General features: G+C 47.5%; 1 protein-coding gene and 2 long non-coding RNA genes across 22 annotated transcripts in view, besides 2 other annotated features; 2 read left to right on the top strand and 1 right to left on the bottom strand.

Annotated features, from left to right (window-relative positions):
- The window catches only part of LOC105373346 (uncharacterized), a 23,435-nt gene extending 16,496 nt beyond the window's left edge, over window positions 1-6,939 (top strand). For all 11 annotated transcript variants that reach the window (NR_189074.1, NR_189078.1, NR_189077.1 and 8 more), the window contains one exon: window positions 6,760-6,939. This is a non-coding gene — a long non-coding RNA (uncharacterized LOC105373346). The remainder of the gene's footprint in view (window positions 1-6,759) is intronic.
- On the bottom strand, window positions 1,049-11,951 carry LOC101927262 (uncharacterized). Of its 7 annotated transcripts, XR_007085889.1 has the most exons (4): window positions 11,256-11,951; window positions 7,129-7,202; window positions 6,664-6,895; window positions 1,049-5,732 (listed from the first exon to the last, which is right to left on the bottom strand). It is a non-coding gene; the product is annotated as an uncharacterized LOC101927262 (long non-coding RNA). The 7 variants fall into 7 exon arrangements; XR_007085917.1 differs by lacking the exon at window positions 6,664-6,895; XR_007085954.1 differs by lacking the exons at window positions 6,664-6,895; window positions 11,256-11,951 and adding an exon at window positions 9,838-9,915.
- Window positions 9,789-18,322, top strand: ALKAL2 (ALK and LTK ligand 2). Of its 4 annotated transcripts, none has more exons than XM_047443980.1 (6): window positions 9,789-9,867; window positions 9,988-10,297; window positions 11,537-11,590; window positions 11,677-11,757; window positions 14,705-14,769; window positions 17,731-18,322. In XM_047443980.1, exons 2-6 carry the CDS (start codon window positions 10,045-10,047, stop codon window positions 17,731-17,733), a joined length of 456 nt encoding a protein of 151 aa, XP_047299936.1. In that variant the 5' UTR covers window positions 9,789-9,867; window positions 9,988-10,044; the 3' UTR covers window positions 17,734-18,322. The 4 variants fall into 4 exon arrangements, with proteins under 4 accessions (XP_047299936.1, NP_001002919.2, XP_047299938.1 ...); NM_001002919.3 differs by having other exon boundaries at window positions 17,728-18,322; XM_047443982.1 differs by lacking the exon at window positions 11,677-11,757.
- Window positions 10,225-10,274: a silencer, noted in NCBI's record as "silent region_11100". NCBI's record gives its function as "represses an Ori minimal core promoter by ATAC-STARR-seq in GM12878 lymphoblastoid cells {active_cell/tissue: GM12878}" and the evidence as "EXISTENCE:reporter gene assay evidence [ECO:0000049][PMID:35858748]".
- Window positions 12,015-13,214: an enhancer, noted in NCBI's record as "CDK7 strongly-dependent group 2 enhancer chr2:284666-285865 (GRCh37/hg19 assembly coordinates)". NCBI's record gives its function as "activates an origin of replication core promoter dependent on BRD2, BRD4, P300/CBP, MED14 and CDK7 cofactors, with strong dependence on CDK7, by STARR-seq in HCT116 cells {active_cell/tissue: HCT116}" and the evidence as "EXISTENCE:reporter gene assay evidence [ECO:0000049][PMID:35650434]".

Below are 18,322 nucleotides of genomic sequence, written 5' to 3'. Positions count from 1 at the left end.
GAAATCACAATATGGAAGGGATGTTTGCACCCCGCGATTATTGCAGCACTATTCACAATAGCCACGATGCGGATTCAATCCAAGTTGACAGCAACAGCAGGTGAATACAGAGGAAATGTGGCTAAATACACACTGGAATACTACTCAGCCTTAAAAAGAAGAAAATCCTGTCATGTGCAACAACATGGATGAACCTGAAGGACATCGTGCTAAGTGAAATAAGACAGACACAAAAAGAAAAACACCGCATGGTCTCACTTATATGTGAAGCTAAAGAAGAGCTCACAGACGTGCTGAATACAACAGTGGTTATGGGAGTGGGGTGCTGGCAGAGGGAGCTTGGTTAACATGAACAAACCTACAATTACAAAGGAAGAAGTTCTGGTCTTCTCATAGGGTGAGTAATTGACTATATATTTTCAAGCAGCAGAAGAGAGGATTTTAAATGCTGTCAACACAAAGAAACGATAACTGAGATGATGGATATGCTTATTAGAGTGATTTGATTATTATACATGGTACACATGCACCAATATATCCCACTGTACCCCATAAATACAATTATTACATGTCAATTTAAAAAATCCATGGAAACAAAAAGTAGAATGGCTTTTGCCAGAGTTTTGGGGAAGAGAGAAATGATGAGCTAATGTTTAACGGGTCCAGAGATTCTGGTCAGGATGATGAAAAGTTCTGGAATTGAACAGTGGTGATGATGGTTGTACAAAATTGTGAATTTACCTAATGCCACAGGGCTGTACTCTTAAAATGGTTAAAATTGTGAGTTTTATGTTACATATGTTTTATCAGAATTAAAAACAAAAGAGTACCTGCATTCATTTTGAGACAAAACAGAAGTCTCCTCCTTCACTTTGAAGGTGTCAGCTACCAGCACATAAAGACAAAGAGAAAACCTCAGGGTCATGTTTAAACACATCTGATTTATACTGAGGACAAATTAAAGAAAGTAATTTATGTAATGAAGAGTAAACTTATGGAACTCATTGCCAAAAGAGGAGGTACAGACATAGAAATATTCAAAGACATCTACGAGAAATTGTTCAAACATTTATTGACAGCAGCCTAAGAGAACGTGGAGCACGATAAGGTTTGGAGTCACCCTGAGGTTCACATCACAGCACACAAAGAGCTTTTTGCCCCACTGCCACTGTGCCCTAGTGCATTTCTGAGGACTGGAATAGGGAGGTGGATGGACCTGCAGGTCCTCCCCATGGCACAAACGCTGCACCTTGCACACACCTGGGTCCCTGCCATGTCTAGCCCTAGCCTGTGCACAGTGAGGAGAGTACACCTGGTTATCAGGACAGAGTCACCTCTAAGACGCCCAGTGCCTAACTGCACAGTGAGGAGAGTACCTCTGGTTGTAAACACAAGGTCACCCCGAGATGCCCAGTGCTTTTACATGGTGAGGGCAGCACACCTGGTTGTCAGCACAAGGTCACCTCTGAAATGCACAGTGCTTGTACATGTGAGGGTATCACACCTGGTTGTCAGCACTGCATCACCTCTGAGATGCCCTCCCGTTCACGTGTGTAGCAATAAAAAAAGTCTGGCTTAACAACTGTCATTCTCAGCTCCCAGTCAAAGCAGAATAGGGTGTTGTGCTCATATTTAAAGCTTCATTTTGTATTGTATCTGTTTTTAGAAATTGTCTATTTCTTTGTCCACGTAGGCTAAAGTTACATCTTCAATAAGCCAAGTAATAGGAACTTACTTTGCTCACCGCAGTATGTGTGCCTGCTCCTAGAACTATGCTCAGGATGTGGCCGGCACATGGTCAGTTTTTGCTGAATGGAGGAAAGAATTAAATTTTGGAGCCTACACATGGTCCCAAGATCACGGCTATGTTTTCAATGGGACTTTTAAATGCTCTTACAGAAATGTTCATACTGGGAATGCCAATGTCAGGATGAAACAGGTGATTTCTAAAAAAGATGATTTTCTTAGGAAGCCAAGACTTTCTCTACTCTCCATCCTCATCTCCATGCCCCAGTTCTGAGCCTCCTCCTTTTTTCGCCTGCATCACTATAAATGTGGCTGCATCCATGCTGAGGTTTCAGTTCAAATACCTTGATACCTTGTCCTCAGAGATGATTCTACAACCACCTTATCAGACGTAGGTCCCCTTCGCCCTCACCATCTCATCTCTGTCTCAGCATTTGTCTCTCTTCCTTCTTCCCTCTTTCTTCCATGCTCTTTTTATAACTTCCTACTATTTCATATAGTTATCTGTTTGCTGGTGTTTACCTTCTGCAGCAAGTGAACCATGCAGGAGGGACTGTCACACCTGCAACACCTGGTGCAGTGCTGGACACGGGGGACACTTCGCATCTCTCTACTTAGTGACAGCATCTGACGGAAGGAGGGAGGGTCAGAAAGCCCCCTGCTCGCCTGTCTGCCCATGGGGGAGGGTGGGCAGAAGGAGGCAGGACTGGTCTGTCTGCCTACGGCCCCAAACCCTTTTGGTCCATCATCCATAGCTACCTCCATAAAACACAGATCTGATGATGTTGGTCCCTGCTCAAGGCTTGTCAATCATTTACCACTGCCTGCAGGATGAAGTTCAGAGTACTGAGAGTGGCATTGAGAACAGCCTCTTGTCCTCTTCTCTCTCCTACACTCTGTTGCAGAAGGGACCCTCACACATTCCAAGCGCACTGTGACCCGGCACCTTGGCTTCTTTACATGTGCATTCCCTGCCCCTTTCATCCATAAACCAGCCTCAAGGGAGTGGCCCCACACCCTACACTCCGTCCAGACTCCAGGAGCACACGACACACGGGACACACTACACCAAACAATGCAGGTTTCTTGTGGACAGAATTTCTCCCCTCTGTCCCTGAGCACCCGAGGACTCAAGCAATGGCTATGGGATGTGTGAGCAAATCAAAAGTTCTCAGCACAAATTCTCCCTTCCTTCCTGGAGGTGCAGACTGTTTCTGTTTGACGTCCATTTCCAAGCATGTCCAACCCATGGCCCATGGGTCACATGCAGCCCAGGACAGCTTTGAATGTGCCCAACAGGAATTTGCAAACTTTCTTAAAACATGATATTTCTTTGGTGATTTTTTTTATAGCTTATCAGCTATTGTTAGTGTTAGTGTATTTTACATGTGGCTCAAGATAATTTTTCTTCTTTCTTCTTCCAGTGTGGCCCAGGGAAGCCAAACGGTTGGGCACCCCTGCCTCCCGTTTCTCCCGGGGCCAGTAACTGGTCTGCCTTACACTGGTGCTGCCTGTCTGCTGTGGTCTCAGCGTCTGTGTCTCTCCAAAGTGCTTGTGCCGAAACCTGATCCCAAGAGTGATGGTGTCAGGAGGTGGGGCCTTTGGGAGGTGATGGGGTCCTGAGGATGGAGCCTCATGAATGTGATTATTGTCCTTAGAAAAGGGACCCCAGAGAGTCCCCTTGCACCCTCCACCACGTGAGGACTCAGTGAGAAAGTGCCATCTATGAGGAAGGCGGGCCTCGTGTGAGGACTCAGTGAGAAAGCGCCATCTATGAGGAAGGCGGGCCTTGTGTGAGGACTCAGTGAGAAAGCGCCATCTATGAGGAAGGCGGGCCCCACGTGAGGACTCAGTGAGAAAGCGCCATCTGTGAGGAAGGTGGGCCTCGTGTGAGGACTCAGTGAGAAAGCGCCATCTATGAGGAAGGCGGGCCTCACGTGAGGACTCAGTGAGAAAGCGCCATCTATGAGGAAGGCGGGCCCCACGTGAGGACTCAGTGAGAAAGTGCCATCTGTGAGGAAGGTGGGCCTCGTGTGAGGACTCAGTGAGAAAGCGCCATCTATGAGGAAGGCGGGCCTTGTGTGAGGACTCAGTGAGAAAGCGCCATCTATGAGGAAGGCGGGCCCCACGTGAGGACTCAGTGAGAAAGCGCCATCTGTGAGGAAGGTGGGCCTCGTGTGAGGACTCAGTGAGAAAGCGCCATCTATGAGGAAGGCGGGCCTCACGTGAGGACTCAGTGAGAAAGCGCCATCTATGAGGAAGGCGGGCCTCGTGTGAGGACTCAGTGAGAAAGCGCCATCTGTGAGGAAGGTGGGCCTCGTGTGAGGACTCAGTGAGAAAGCGCCATCTATGAGGAAGGCGGGCCTCGTGTGAGGACTCAGTGAGAAAGCGCCATCTATGAGGAAGGGGGGCCTTGTGTGAGGACTCAGTGAGAAAGCGCCATCTATGAGGAAGGCGGGCCCCACGTGAGGACTCAGTGAGAAAGCGCCATCTGTGAGGAAGGTGGGCCCCTGTGAGGACTCAAGAGAGAAAGCGCCATCTACGAGGAAGGGGAGCTTCATCAAACACCCAGCCTGCCTTGATATTGGACTGCCAGCCTCCAGAACTGTGAGGAATATGTTCCTGTTGTTTATAAACTACCTGTGTATGATATATTGTTCTAGGAGCACACATGGACTAAGACAGTGTCTCAAGCACTCTTTGCCTAATGGACTGCATTATAATAGTGGCAAAAATATCAGAGACAGCAGTCTTGAAATGTCCCCACGGTTTTAAGGAAGGGTCAGGTGAGCAAAATATAGACTGTTCTTATGAATTCATAGCCCTAGTATATCCTAGCCAACCACACTTATATACCATCCTAACAGCACAGGCACTGGGCCTGGGGCAGCAGCAGGGGCCCTCACCCACAGGTCTGAATCCTACTCCACTGGACTGAGCCCTCACCCACTGTTCTGAGTGCTGGTCACATGGAAACTTACTAATTCAGGATATTTCAGTCCACTTCTAACTATAGATTTTCTATGCAGCTGTGAACAAGTCACCAAATTCTGATGCCCCAGACATTCTCTAGGATTGGATAATGCTCTCTTTCATGCCATATTGTAAGGGATAAAATACAGGAAAAAAGAGGCCATTATGACAGCAGACACTCTGAAAGGCAGTAATAGCAATAATTGGTCAGTTAAAAGAAATTTAAACTATACTAAAAAGTTAACATACTTTATCTTATTTAATGTTTATAAAACCTCTGAGGTTGTACGTACTCCTGTCATTTCCGACATGAAAAAACTGGGCTCAAAGAAGTTGTCTTGCCCAGGTTCACACAGATGTGAGCAGGAATCAGAACCTGAGCCCATTTCTGTGGCTTTGAAGCCCACGTCCTTTGCAGTCCGCTATGCTGCATTCTTGAAAGAAAGTGGAGTTCAGGTGAGGTGACTCTCCATCTGTTCCTCCCACCCTCTTCCTACAGCCCAGTCTTCCCAGCAGATCCAAGAGGTTCTGGGGCCTCCTCCTTGGAAGTTTGCATATGCAGTTCCCTCTATCCAGGAGGCATCCCCATCACTGTGCTTAGCTTATCCTAGAAACAAACAACAACCCACTTTGGTAGGTGGTGCCTTTATGACACTTTGGATGTCTCTGTGATGAACCTAGATCATTGTGTGTGTCACTTCTGATCAGGATATCTGATTTCCTGCAGAAAACAGATGGAATGCAGATATATTGGTGTTGTTACTCAGCATCTATGACTATATTTTGTTGAAATATTGTCATGGATAATATTTTTCTGATATGTTGATGATTGGTGTGTTCTTTCAAATTTATTCTTACTACTTCCATCAAAAGATGTCAGATTGGTGCCTCCAAATGGCAAGTAAGCATCACAGTGGTTTCAGAATTTATAACTAAAATCCAGTTTGAAGGAACAACGTAAAGTCCATACTTCCTTTAAGCCTTTCCCCATGAAAAGTCCTCTTTATCTTGGCCTGGAACAATAAATTTTTTAAAAAAGTAAATCAGCCATGCTATCTTATCCCAACCCTTTAAATACAACTTTCACCTAATTTCTCTCCTGAACATGCATAGCCGTGTGCATCTGCAGATGCAAAAGCAGTGTTGAAGAATGGGAAGGGGTGGATGACCATGTTTTTGGAATCATCTTCTTCCTCCCTAGAAGGGGAGAAGTGTTACATAGAATGCTGTACTTCATTGATCTAGAATAAGCTGCAGATATCATGCATACATTATCACTTGTAAGAGTCTATATTTATTACATTTATACTAGGAAAATTAATCCTGTTAGAAAGCTTGTCTTCCTAAATGCTTTAAACACTGTCTAGTACGTGCCTAGCACACTAATAGCATTTTGATAGCTTAAAAAAGCAGAATTGGTAAATATTAAACAGTAAGCAATATTTGTTTATAGTACATGATGTTATCCTTTATGAAAGGTGATTTTTTTCTACAATACAAACTTCGTTAGATTGTTAAATGATTGCCATAATGATTGAAAAATATAACAATTCATTTTAAAGCATGTGGTTAACACAGGTATTTTAGAAGTCTTTGAGGGCAGCTAATATTCATCTAAAATTAAATACGTACCCTCTGGATGAAGAAAAAAAATGATTGCAGTCAAAACATCAGAACTTTAACCTGTTTATGAATTGAAAAAATCAACTCACCCATCTCAGGACCTATATATAGTACTGTTAGGGTAGATTAAATACAGGTTTTTTTCCTCTGCTCGGTTTTCTTCCTATGATCCAACACAGTTTTCTCAAAAAGATAACCAAACTAAATCAAATCTAGAAAAAAATTTTTCCAGTAATTCTAGAATATAGTTTGTTGCTAATTGTATCTCTTTTCTTTTTGGCTTCCTGCTTGAAAAGCACGGGTTTGAAGGGGTCCACTTACATATTTTTTTTCAAACGTGGGTCGAAAACACAGCAGCTGGAGGATGCGAAACGCACACAGAGGGAGGGCAACTTTCCGTATTTGCGTGTTCCACAGGCCCCACTGTGAGACGTGAATGTGCCTGGATTTCGGTATCTGCTGGAACCAGTCCCACGCTATACCAAGGGATGACTGCACACCTATTTCTGATGACTGGAGAACTCCAAGGGGTTCGTCTTGACAATACCATTAACTTAAAAATTCAATAAAGATTAACAAATCGGTGGTACACTCTAAGTTTGTTAGTCTGTAAAAATTGTTTCTATAATATAAAATGAGCAGCACCTAGATAATTTTGGCAGAGAACTTTGTAAAAATAAATGAACACATAAATTGTCTGACTCTTAATTGTAAGATCTCATTAATCCAAAGACCAACCAAGCATCAGCTCTGTTGCTGTTGATTATCCACCAAACCTCTACTAACCTGGGCGGAAGTCTTGGCCCACACTTGGATGGTAGAAAGGGCTCATTCAAGGAATCCATTTGTCCCATTAAAAACTGCAAAAGAAAAGACATAATATTAATTACTAGCAAGGCTTCCTCGGTAGGTAGAATTTGTGTGTGTTGGGGGAAATAGATCCTACTAGCATTTTATAGAAGAAATTTAGCTTTTGATTTTATAAAATACTATTCTAATAGGTCTATGTAAATTTAAAATAATACGTGAAATGTGTTTTCTTCTTTTTACCATACAAAGATTTTTTTGAAAAACTGTCTTACACCAAGCTATTTTACAACAGTAAAATCTTCTCATGGTTCTATTTTTCTGGGAACTGCGGTGTCCACCAGCTGCGAGGTGGGCCCGGCAAGCAGGACCGGGAGCAGGGCCGGGGAGGGCCGGTTCCATCGCCAGGCGTCGCTCTTGCCCGTGGAACTCAAGTGTCTTCTTGGACATGGGAAGGGGAAAGAGAGAAACGAAAAATGCCTCCTTTTATGTGCCTAAGGTCTGTTTGACATAAAATTTTACTTTTTCCTGAGTGTATTTTAGCAGAAATGTTCACATTTCAGTCATGTAGCTTGCAAAAAGAAAAAGAAAAGCCTCGCTGTGAAATCAAACCATCTGTTTTTCAAGGGAGCGGAGAGAACGCAGATCCCAAGGGTGTGGGGCGGGGTCCGGAACCGGCACATTTCATATCTTCTCTCTCCACGCTGCCTCCCCGCCCAGCTCTGCCGGACACTTTCTCCTCCTGAGGAGACAGACCCCGTGCAGGAAGAGAGAAAGGACGCGGGGACGGGCGCAGACGGGGCCTCTCCGGGAGCTGGGGGATCGGGGCGCGGAGCCTTCCGCCCGCACCGCCCGCGCTCACGTGCGCCTGGGCCAGCACCTTCCCGCCGCGGTCCTGCGACTGCCCCGATCATGGTGCAGGCCTTTAATTCTCGCCCACTCCGCCTCTCTGATTGCACTCAGAACACCTTTCCCAAACAGATCGCGGACTTGGAAGACGTCCAGCTCTTGCCCAGAAAGCACCAATCGAATGGGAAAGTGCGCAACTGATTGATAATACATTTTACAAGAATAAAATAAAAGAGGCAAATTGCTGAACTTTCACAGATGTGCCGGGCTTCGGCCAAAGAGCCAAACTTTCTTAAAGACGAGTCCGGGAGGCAAGTGCCCTCCTGCGGGCGTTCCCTGCCGGGGCGCGAGGGACCCGCGGGCCGAGGGTCCAGCGCAGAGGAGCGCGCAGATGGCGCGGTCCTTGCCGGGGAGGGACCTTCGCTCGTCCTCTCGCAGGGGGTCTGGGGAGGGGGTGCAGGTCCTGCCCCTCCTCGGGTGGTCAGCTGTGCGCACCTCGGGGGCCGTGGAGAGTCCTCACCCGCCCATCTCCTGCCTCCTGGCCGCCCCGCCTCGGGGACCAGGGCTTGGGGACCCGAACCTGGGGACTGGGCTCGGGCGGGGCAGACCCCTCGAGGTCCGGAGAGCGGATCCCTCCAAAACGGATGGACTCTAATTGACTTATTAAATGTCGAAGCAATCAGGCAGCTCCCTTTTTAATAGCCCAAGATCTACATTTAGACAAAAACAGAACCGAGTTCCTGGTAAAGGCGTTTCTTCTCATCCTGTCACAAGTGACAGGAACGGAGGGAAACAGACTGGGGGAGGGGCGGGGGGAGGAGAACAGGGGGAAGAGGAGGAGACGGGGAGTGGGGGAAGGTGGGGCAGGAGAGGAGGAGACGGGAGATGGGGAAGGTGGGGAGGGAAGGGGCGCGGGAGACGGGGCGCGGGCGAGGGGGAGACGCGGTGGAGATGCGGGTGGGGGGACCGGGCGGGGGCGGGGGCGGAGTTGAGGGGGAGCGGGAGACGGGGGGAGGCGAGAGCGAGGTGAGGCGGGGGGACTGACGAAGATCCGCATGGGGGTACTAACACTTCAGCGGCTTCTAATTAAAGCCCCGCTCGGAGCCCTTGGGGACCCGCCTGACGTCGGCGGGCGCGGGGATAAGAAGCTCCCCGAGGTCTGAGGCGGGACTCGGAGCCGGCGCACCCCAGGTCGGCCGTGGGTCCAGCGCTCGGAGCGGCCGAGTCCCCGCGTCCCGTGCGCTCCGCCCGCCGGGCATGGAGTAGTGGCGCAGCTCGGGGCGCGGGGACAGACGTGCGCACAGACGGCGACGACTCCGGCGGCTCCAGGTAACCGGCCCGGCCACGACGCGCAGGTGGCTCCCGGGTGGCGCCGGGCAGGTGCGGGAGGGCGCCATGGCCGGGAGGTGGAGGGGCTTCCAGCACGTGGCGCGGCCGGGGCCAGCGCGAGGGTCCGCACCCGGCCTCCTCCGTGGGCTTCGGGGACTCGGCGCTCGCCGGCGACCACCGCGCAAAGGCGACGCTGGAAACTTGAGCGCGGCCGCCGGGCCCGGCGCGCGGCGCCGCCTTCTTGGAGAGCGGTAGGCGCGGGAGCGCGGCCCCTCCGAGGTCCGCCCGCGGCCGGGGAGCTGCCTGGCACCCGCGGCTTCCAAAGGGGAAAGAAAGTTGCGCCCGCGCCAGGCGCAGCGCGCTCGGCGGACGCGGCCTTTCGGGCGAAAGTTAGGAGGGGCCGGGCTGGCGGGCGGGCGGGTTCCGGGGGCTCCTTTCCGCACCAGCGGCGGTCGCTCCCCGTGGGCGGGACCTCGGGCGTGATCGTCGAGGAGACCGCGGCTCCCTCACCTGCCGGCTTGTTCCTCGGGGTCCGCGGAGGTGAGGGGCCGGGTCCAGCGCCAGCGGCTCCTCCCGCCTCCCCTCCCCTCCCCCGCCCCGCGCTCCGTCCCCCTCCCCCGCTGACTTTCTCTCCGGCCCCCCGCGCCCCTTCTCTCGCAGCGAGCCCAGCTCTCGGCGCGTGTCGGAGTCTCCCAGCCCCGCGGCCCCGAGCGCACGATGCGCGGACCCGGGCACCCCCTCCTCCTGGGGCTGCTGCTGGTGCTGGGGGCGGCGGGGCGCGGCCGGGGGGGCGCGGAGCCCCGGGAGCCGGCGGACGGACAGGCGCTGCTGCGGCTGGTGGTGGAACTCGTCCAGGAGCTGCGGAAGCACCACTCGGCGGAGCACAAGGGCCTGCAGCTCCTCGGGCGGGACTGCGCCCTGGGCCGCGCGGAGGCGGCGGGGCTGGGGCCTTCGCCGGAGCAGCGAGTGGGTGAGTGGGGCCGAGCGCGCCCGAGGGCCGGGGCTGCTGGGAAATAGAATTGTCTTTGAGAAACACGTTTCAAAAAGAGACATCAATTTTGACCACTGAACAGCAGGATTCCTTTTTTTTTTTTTTTTTTTTTTAAGAAAAAGAAAATAGCAGCAATAGGTCCGCGCATGAGGCCTGGCGGAGAAGCGCCTGGTCTCCTTCTGGCGCGCGTGAGCTGCGGCGCGGGTCGGTGGTTTCCACACTAAACTGTCAACCGTCACTTTGGAAATGGAAGCATTTCCAGCAAAGCTTTCCCAACTGAAAAGGAAGCATCCAGGCTCCTTCATGGCCCTGCCCAGAGTGGTGGCCCACGGGGAATTTCCCAGGAAAGCATGAAAGCGTCTAATGCTTTTGTGACACAATCAGGTCAAACATGATAAGGTCAGTTTTATCCCGGCTGCGTCAAGTTAGGAGTGAATGAAGACTCACTAGGGGGTCAGCTGTGGATGCGAATGCTCCTCTTCAGAGGGCGTGACTTCACACACAGTCGGGGCTCAGCCAGGAGCCCTGAACGGGGGAGTGAAGATGGAGAGGGCTGTAAATACGCAAAAACAAAGCTGAACTCAAGAAGAACGCCCTTGCAGGGTTCTCCCCACCCACTGTGTGCGGAGAACCCTGGTGGAAGAAGTTTGCTTGGCAGAGTCTTTCCCTGGGATTCTTACCCTACAAACCAGGTTCATGCATATTCCCACTAATTTACACCTCACTGAAACGTGGTCTTTTAATCCTTACTCTAAATATGTATCTAGATAAAGTAATGTTCTGTAACCCATTTTTTTGTTTGAAGGGTCAGGTTTTCTCTAAAAACTTTGAAATGTTGTGGGATTTGATTCCCAAGGTCCTTAAAACTAAAGTGCCTAAAAGTGACTTATTCACTGGAAGTTAAATGTTTAAAAGAAAAAAAAAACAGTTTTCTTACCTCTGTAACTTCGTGGTCTCTGTCTGCATCCCACGGGGTAGACAGCCGACATAATCCTGGAGCTTCAGGAGCAGTTACTGTTATTTCAAGGAAAATAAATGTCCCTGATATTGAGTCTTCTTCACTGTCGTGTGTTGCAATCCAGGGCCCCAGTCTTTTTTATTTTGTGCAAAGCAACTTGGCTAATATGGAGCTCCAATTTTCTTCAACATTCACTTAAGATCACATTTTTAAAAAATGCGTCCTTCAGGTAATATAATACTTTCTTTTCCCTGAAACAGAAATTGTTCCTCGAGATCTGAGGATGAAGGACAAGTTTCTAAAACACCTTACAGGTAAGTTTTCTCCTCGTTCCTCACGTCTCCCAGAGCTCCTTTTCACCTGTGAGTCTTCATGATCTGTTTCTTCTTCCGTGTTCCAGGCCCTCTTTATTTTAGTCCAAAGTGCAGCAAACACTTCCATAGACTTTATCACAACACCAGAGACTGCACCATTCCTGCATGTAAGTAACAGCATTGGATTTTTATAAAATGCAAGAGCAGTGCAGGCAGCGGTTCCCCTCTTTCCATTTCCTCATATAGGCCCCTGCCTTCTTAGCTCAAATTTGCCTATTCCTTCCTCACTATGGAGTTAGGGGCCAAGATCGCCAGACCATTGCAGAAGATAACTAACTTCTGCATCAGCTAACGCCAAACTGGAAATTATTTACAGTCATTGGAATAATAGGCTCTTGGGATGGGCTGAACTCCGATTCTCCTCCTGTTAATTCTCCTCCAATGCCCATGTTTGTGTGTACTCTACTATGGCAGTCAGATGTTAAGAATGAGTTGCTAAACTGACTCCAAGAATAAGATTGACCTGGATCATCTCCACTGCTCTTACCAGAGACTTTTTCTTCCCATTGGTAATTATAACCTCATCACCCAGGAATTTCATTGTGATTTCAAAACTGTTTCTCTGGCTGGCTCCATCACTCCTTCAGAAATGCAGAGCTGCCCTTATCAACATAGCTCTCAGCAGTAGCTTTCTCTCCTGTTTCTTTTCAGTCTTCCTAACCTGCTTTTGGCTATTTATTCATAACAAAACATTTTATTTCTCCAAAAGTAGCTCCTTGTTCTCTTCACTGAAGCCTTATTAGCTACAGTGATAGGGCCCTAACCCATTTTTTTTAATTCGGACTCCAACTTTGATTTTATTTAAGGCTCACAGGAGAAAAGTCATGCAGAAACACTAGGCATCCTGCTAACTGCTGTCATCAGGGCTCTCCAGCTGGACCAGGCAGCGTTCCGGACTTGCTGTCCTGCCTTCCCTCTCCAAAAACAAACAAACGAAAAGCCAATGTACACGAAGTATAAGTGCTTTTCTTTGTTTAGGCAGCAAAATTACTTCAAATAATAATAACCATCATTTATAGAGCTGCTTCTGTGTGCCGGGTGCATGCCAATGAACCTTGGCCCACTGAAGTAGCGTCACCAGCGCGTTTTGGACAAGGCTAAGGCACATGCACTTTTAGCATTCACATCACCGCACAAAGATGCATGGAACGCAGCCTCGGCCCCTCTGACCATACCTTTAGCAACATCATCCTCACGCCAAGGCCAGCAGCACACACTTCCTGAAGAGTTTTTATATTCTTGGTGCTGGGCCCCACCCTTCCATGTGCACCTGGCACACTAGTACTCTCCTGTTTTCTTCTTTTGGAATGTAATCACCTGTTTGGGAATCATTAATGTGGCTCTTGGGGCCAGAAAATCTTGTCGTTTGTATTGTTTTGATGTACATATATTTTATATTACCTATTTCCTTACAGTAATAGGATCATAGATTCCAAATTTGGAAGTGACCTCTGAGTCATTCAGTCTCATCTTTTCATTTATGGATGAGGAATTGCTTTTGTGCTGTCAGATATCAGCAAAGCTAAAGCACAGATCTCATGGTTGACTCTGCAGGCCTTTTTCCAAGGCATCATGCTGTGCCTGCATTCGATACCTCCTTTTGCTCACAGCAGCTCGGCTTTGTGATACTAAGCTCCTGATCACAGCTCACCCTGGGCCATGGAGAGGGAGAAGGCTGAGAGATCTGTGCCTTGAGATGGGTGGCCACTTTGTTGCTTTCTGCCTCTTCTTAGCCCATAAAGAACTGCAGAGCTGAAGTTGGACCACTTTTTTACTGCGTCAGGCTGTATAAAAGAAAATCCTTGGGATCCTGGAATATCAGACCTGAAGGAACTTTAGTGCCTTCTCAAAGTGTGGTCCCATGGGGAGCTTGTTGGGAATGCAGAACTAAGTCCCATCTAGACTTGTTGAACAAAATCTGCATTTTAATAAGATCCCCAGATGATTGGTCTGCACATGAAGGTTTGCAAGACATTGCTGAAAACACCTGGGTTGAGCAGGATGTGGTCAGCTGGGACCCTGGACATGGCCCAAGTGGAAGTCTTCATTGATTAGATCAGCCATTGAAATCACACATTCCACTGCCTCCATGATGTGGAATCTGTTTAGGAAAACTACATTCTAAAAAGCATGGTGCTGCTTATGAAAGAGAAAGCCAGGCGGTCAGATGACCCAGTGCCACTGTTTGGCCCTTTGAAAAACATTTTCTGTTTGAAAAATCCCTAACAATATATGCCATATTTAGGAGGCGTATTTTTGGAAGTAGAGCTGGCTCCTTAACTAACATATCGTACACATTTGTCATTGTCAATCTACCCATTCAATTCAGATTTTCAGTTGGGTATAAATTCTTCCACTTTTAAGTAGGATTTTGTTATTGAGAAATAAACTGTAATAATTTACAAACTATTGCAGCTTTCCATAGATCTTCACCCAGAGGACATATTTTCCCTTATGGCCATGCCCATTACACCTTCTTAATTTCTATAGGCAGCACGGTCAGAATAGTGGAATGGGAGACTGTGTACGATACCAAGGAGTATCAGCCAGCGCTTAGAAACGGGCACATTGCTTCCGCTCGCCATCCACTCCAGGCCTCTGCTCTGCTGCCTGACTTTTGACCCACTTTCTTTAGAATTTACAGGCAGAAGGCTTTGTCCCATGGTCAACTCAAGTTGGGATTCAGCCTGCACATGACCTGAAAGTAGCACAAGGGTACGGAAGGATTGTCACGTAGGAAGCGAAATGAAGTTATTTCTGAGAGAAGCAATGGGCAGCCAGCTCAGCCATGCAGCCTTCGTGTCTGTCCCTCTTCCCTCCGCTGCCCCACTTACATCATCCGACTTCTGCCATTGAAGCTCAAGCCCTTGAAGCACCATAAATTATTAAGTCAACAACTTAGAATGCATGCCTGCAGATTAGACTCCGTATTGCTTCCAGGGAATTCAGATATTTGAAGAAATAAATGGCTTTAGTAGCTGATATACTTGCAAAAAAATGCGATTTATTTGTTTTTTAAGTAACTGACAAGAGTCTGATATATTTTCACCGTAGACTATAAAAGATGCGCCAGGCTTCTTACCCGGCTGGCTGTCAGTCCAGTGTGCATGGAGGATAAGGTAAGCTTGGACAGACACACACTGGAGCACATACCAAAGATGGGAATCCCGCTTGGGACATGAAAAATTCATGGGAGTTTAGGAACACTCATTCTTTGGCTGAAGTAGCCATATTCTAAGTAGAGATGGCACAACACTCATCTCACAGTGCTGAAAGCCACCCTACTGGCTTGTCTACAGGGCCCCGGCAGCTGTTGTTAACTGCTCACTGCATGGCACACGGGCACTAAGTGGGTCCTGCTCTGAAACACAGCAAGTCAGCCAGTGTCAGCATGTGACTGAGTGCGTAAGTCAGGAACAGACTAAAATTGTCCGTTTACTTCGAGGCATTCATTCATTCACTAACACAAGTGAGTAGATGACCAACATTGTCCCTGCAAATTCAGATTATCACATCTGGTACATGTTTGAGTTGTAGTCATAAGCTCATAAAGAACAGCTATCCTCTTTAAATGTTTCTATCAATGGTTTTTTTTTTTCACAGCCTCTAATAGTAAAAATGTAAATGCATACCACGTTTATGAACTAAACTTTGCACCTTGGCCCCTTGAGGGCTGATATGCAACATTTAACACCAACCATCAGCGGATGTTTTGAAGGGTAAGGTTTTATTTTCCTGACACAAATGCCACAGAATCCAGTCACTTTAGACAGCAGGATGCAACTGTAATTTCACCAATTTTATACTTACTATGTGTCTTGTATATGTGGGCACTGCCAGATGCTGGCTACACCAGCACAAGAAAGACAGGCTTCCTGTCCATTGATAGCTGTCCGGAGCACATTCATGAAAAGGGAGTATTTTTATAGTGGTTACTCTAGTTTCTCTCATGTAAAATGGATGAGGGTAGGGTAGTGCTCTTTCCTATATAGATGTGCTCTCTATGCAGAGGCAGTGCTTATGAATATTTAGGTAGCAGCAGAAGGGTTGTGTGCATGACCCCAACACCGGCAGGAGGCATGGCGGGTCCTGCCCATGCATCCCCCACTCCATCTTTCCCAGTAGAAGAAACTGCTGCTAATGAGAGGAATGGCACTGGGGGAGGGAGGCCAGTGGGTAATGGCGGGTTGAGACTGCATTTTGCACAGTTTCACTGCACTTTTTCTTTGGAGATAGTGAAGGTGTCAATGTCAGTCAAAGCTGGGAAGTGCTGTGTAGTAATGTCTCCCCACATCCCTGCTCTTTCCAATTCTCTCGAGCAGCTCATCCACTGCCTATGTGTCACACAGACTTTCTTCTGTTTAAATCAGTGAACAGATGTACATTCCTGTCACCCAAGGTGATATGCCAGGGGAGATGAGAATTTTTTTTTTTTTTTAGGTATTTCTTTATAATTAAACACAGTGTTCCCAGAGATGGGCCAGGGACATCCTTGGAAATTTTCCACTTACTTACAAGTGAGGAGAGCAAATTCCCCACTGTCTCAGCCACTGGAAGAGCTACTCCGTCCACATGCCCATTAGCCGACCCCTGCCTCCCCTCCGCTGGCTGCTGCTGGAGGCAGGTGCAGTTACACTGAAGGACGTGGTCATGTCAGTGGGACTCAGGCTCCTGTATGGGTCTCTGCGTGCGCACGTCCTGCTTTGCAAACGCCACAGTGATGCCCTGCAGAAAAGCTGTGGCAGAATCCCCTTGATAGTCCCCAGCACTCTTCACATCACTCTCCCCATCACCAGACAACCACATCAGAGCCTGACTGACGATGAGATGCAGGTAAAGGTAACAAGACAAGGCCCAGGCTCGCAAGCTTCTGTCCCCAAAAGGCCACCTGCTTGACAGCCACAGGTGTCACAGCTGTAACTGGGTTCATTTTGGCCAAGAGATAGGTAAAGTTTAAAATATTGATACCCTGTTAACTATAATTTCATAACTCCTATTTTTTAAAGATAATTTCTTCAAATTCCAAAAGTTTTAAACAGCAACAGCAAATTGTTACTGGTGTTAACAAATTGTTAAACAGCAACAGCAAACTCTTACTGTGGCTGGTCACCACAGTGTAGATACAGTCCGGGCTTTCTCTGTGCTTTGCAGACCTCAGTGAGACACCAGAGGGCAGGGCAGGTGTCCCAGGGTGCCCACACTCGTGTGACGGTGTGGCATCAGGCAGGCCCTGCAGTCCCAGTTCTGCTGGTTAACCTGCCACATGCACTTCTGTCCTGACACACAAGGATGGCAGGGCAAGACCGTAAACCATGACCTTGTCTTTGTAAAGAAAGGCCCAGAGCCTGAGAAAAGCAGGCCTTTAGCAGGAAGGGCTCTGCCCTCCTCACCTCAGAGCAAATCCATTTGCCGCGTTCTGAAGCTCATTAATAGACCTCCTCAGGCCAAAGAGAACAATGTCCCCACCAACCCTCCCTAACAGTCACAGATACACTTCATTGTCCGGACTTACAGGTCAGTTAATCAGAAGCCTGAGCTCTGGAATATTGTCAAAGAAATGGAGTTTTGAGTAGTGAGTACATGGTGTACTCTCCCAAATGCAGCCTAATCTTAGTAACCTTGAAGTTTATCATTCTTTAAAAATAAATAGAATACCAATGGTTTAGATATTCCAACAAAGAATGCTAGAAACAAATGTCTAATCTCGATTATTAGCTTTACCAACCCTGTGAACACTGAGGTTGCAGAACTGCCAGGTTAATCCCTGTGGCCTAGACTACTGAGGATTCTGATAGCACATGTAAGACTAAGCACTCTTCAAGCTGTAATAAAGCATCCACATGTATCTGTGATGATTTTCATTGCTTTAGCATTGCAGCCATGTAACAACTGCAGAAAGAAGGTATTTTTAAAAATACAATAGACTACACTTTTTGGATCACAGAGAAATACAGATGCACTCTGAGACTGCCTATGTTTATAAACATGTTGTGTCCCCTAACTGAAGTGACAGGTCTTCTGGAATTGACATTAAGAAGTGTGGATAGTCATATCACACGCAATGTATTTGTTTTCAGCAGTGAGCAGACCGTACAGGAGCAGCACACCAGGAGCCATGAGAAGTGCCTTGGAAACCAACAGGGAAACAGAACTATCTTTATACACATCCCCTCATGGACAAGAGATTTATTTTTGCAGACAGACTCTTCCATAAGTCCTTTGAGTTTTGTATGTTGTTGACAGTTTGCAGATATATATTCGATAAATCAGTGTACTTGACAGTGTTATCTGTCACTTATTTAAAAAAAAAACACAAAAGGAATGCTCCACATTTGACGTGTAGTGCTATAAAACACAGAATATTTCATTGTCTTCATTAGGTGAAATCGCAAAAAATATTTCTTTAGAAACATAAGCAGAATCTTAAAGTATATTTTCATATAACATAATTTGATATTCTGTATTACTTTCACTGTTAAATTCTCAGAGTATTATTTGGAACGGCATGAAAAATTAAAATTTCGGTCATGTTTTAGAGACAGTGGAGTGTAAATCTGTGGCTAATTCTGTTGGTCGTTTGTATTATAAATGTAAAATAGTATTCCAGCTATTGTGCAATATGTAAATAGTGTAAATAAACACAAGTAATAAATGAAGTGTTTGTTATAATGA

The sequence above is a fragment of the Homo sapiens genome, chromosome 2 (genome assembly GCF_000001405.40).
Source record: "Homo sapiens chromosome 2, GRCh38.p14 Primary Assembly".
Classification (NCBI taxonomy): Eukaryota; Metazoa; Chordata; class Mammalia; order Primates; family Hominidae; genus Homo; species Homo sapiens.
The sequence above is the reverse complement of the archived record's forward strand: the minus strand, read 5'-3'. Positions and strand labels throughout refer to the sequence as shown.

What these genes read in the sequence shown, in the direction of transcription:
- ALKAL2 (NM_001002919.3), top strand. Translation starts at nt 10,045, where the DNA reads ATGCGCGGACCCGGGCACCCCCTCCTCCTGGGGCTGCTGCTGGTGCTG. An exon ending in TTCGCCGGAGCAGCGAGTGG is followed by an intron (nt 10,298 to 11,536) that starts GTGAGTGGGGCC and finishes TCCCTGAAACAG; the next exon opens with AAATTGTTCCTCGAGATCTG. An exon ending in GTTTCTAAAACACCTTACAG is followed by an intron (nt 11,591 to 11,676) that starts GTAAGTTTTCTC and finishes TCCGTGTTCCAG; the next exon opens with GCCCTCTTTATTTTAGTCCA.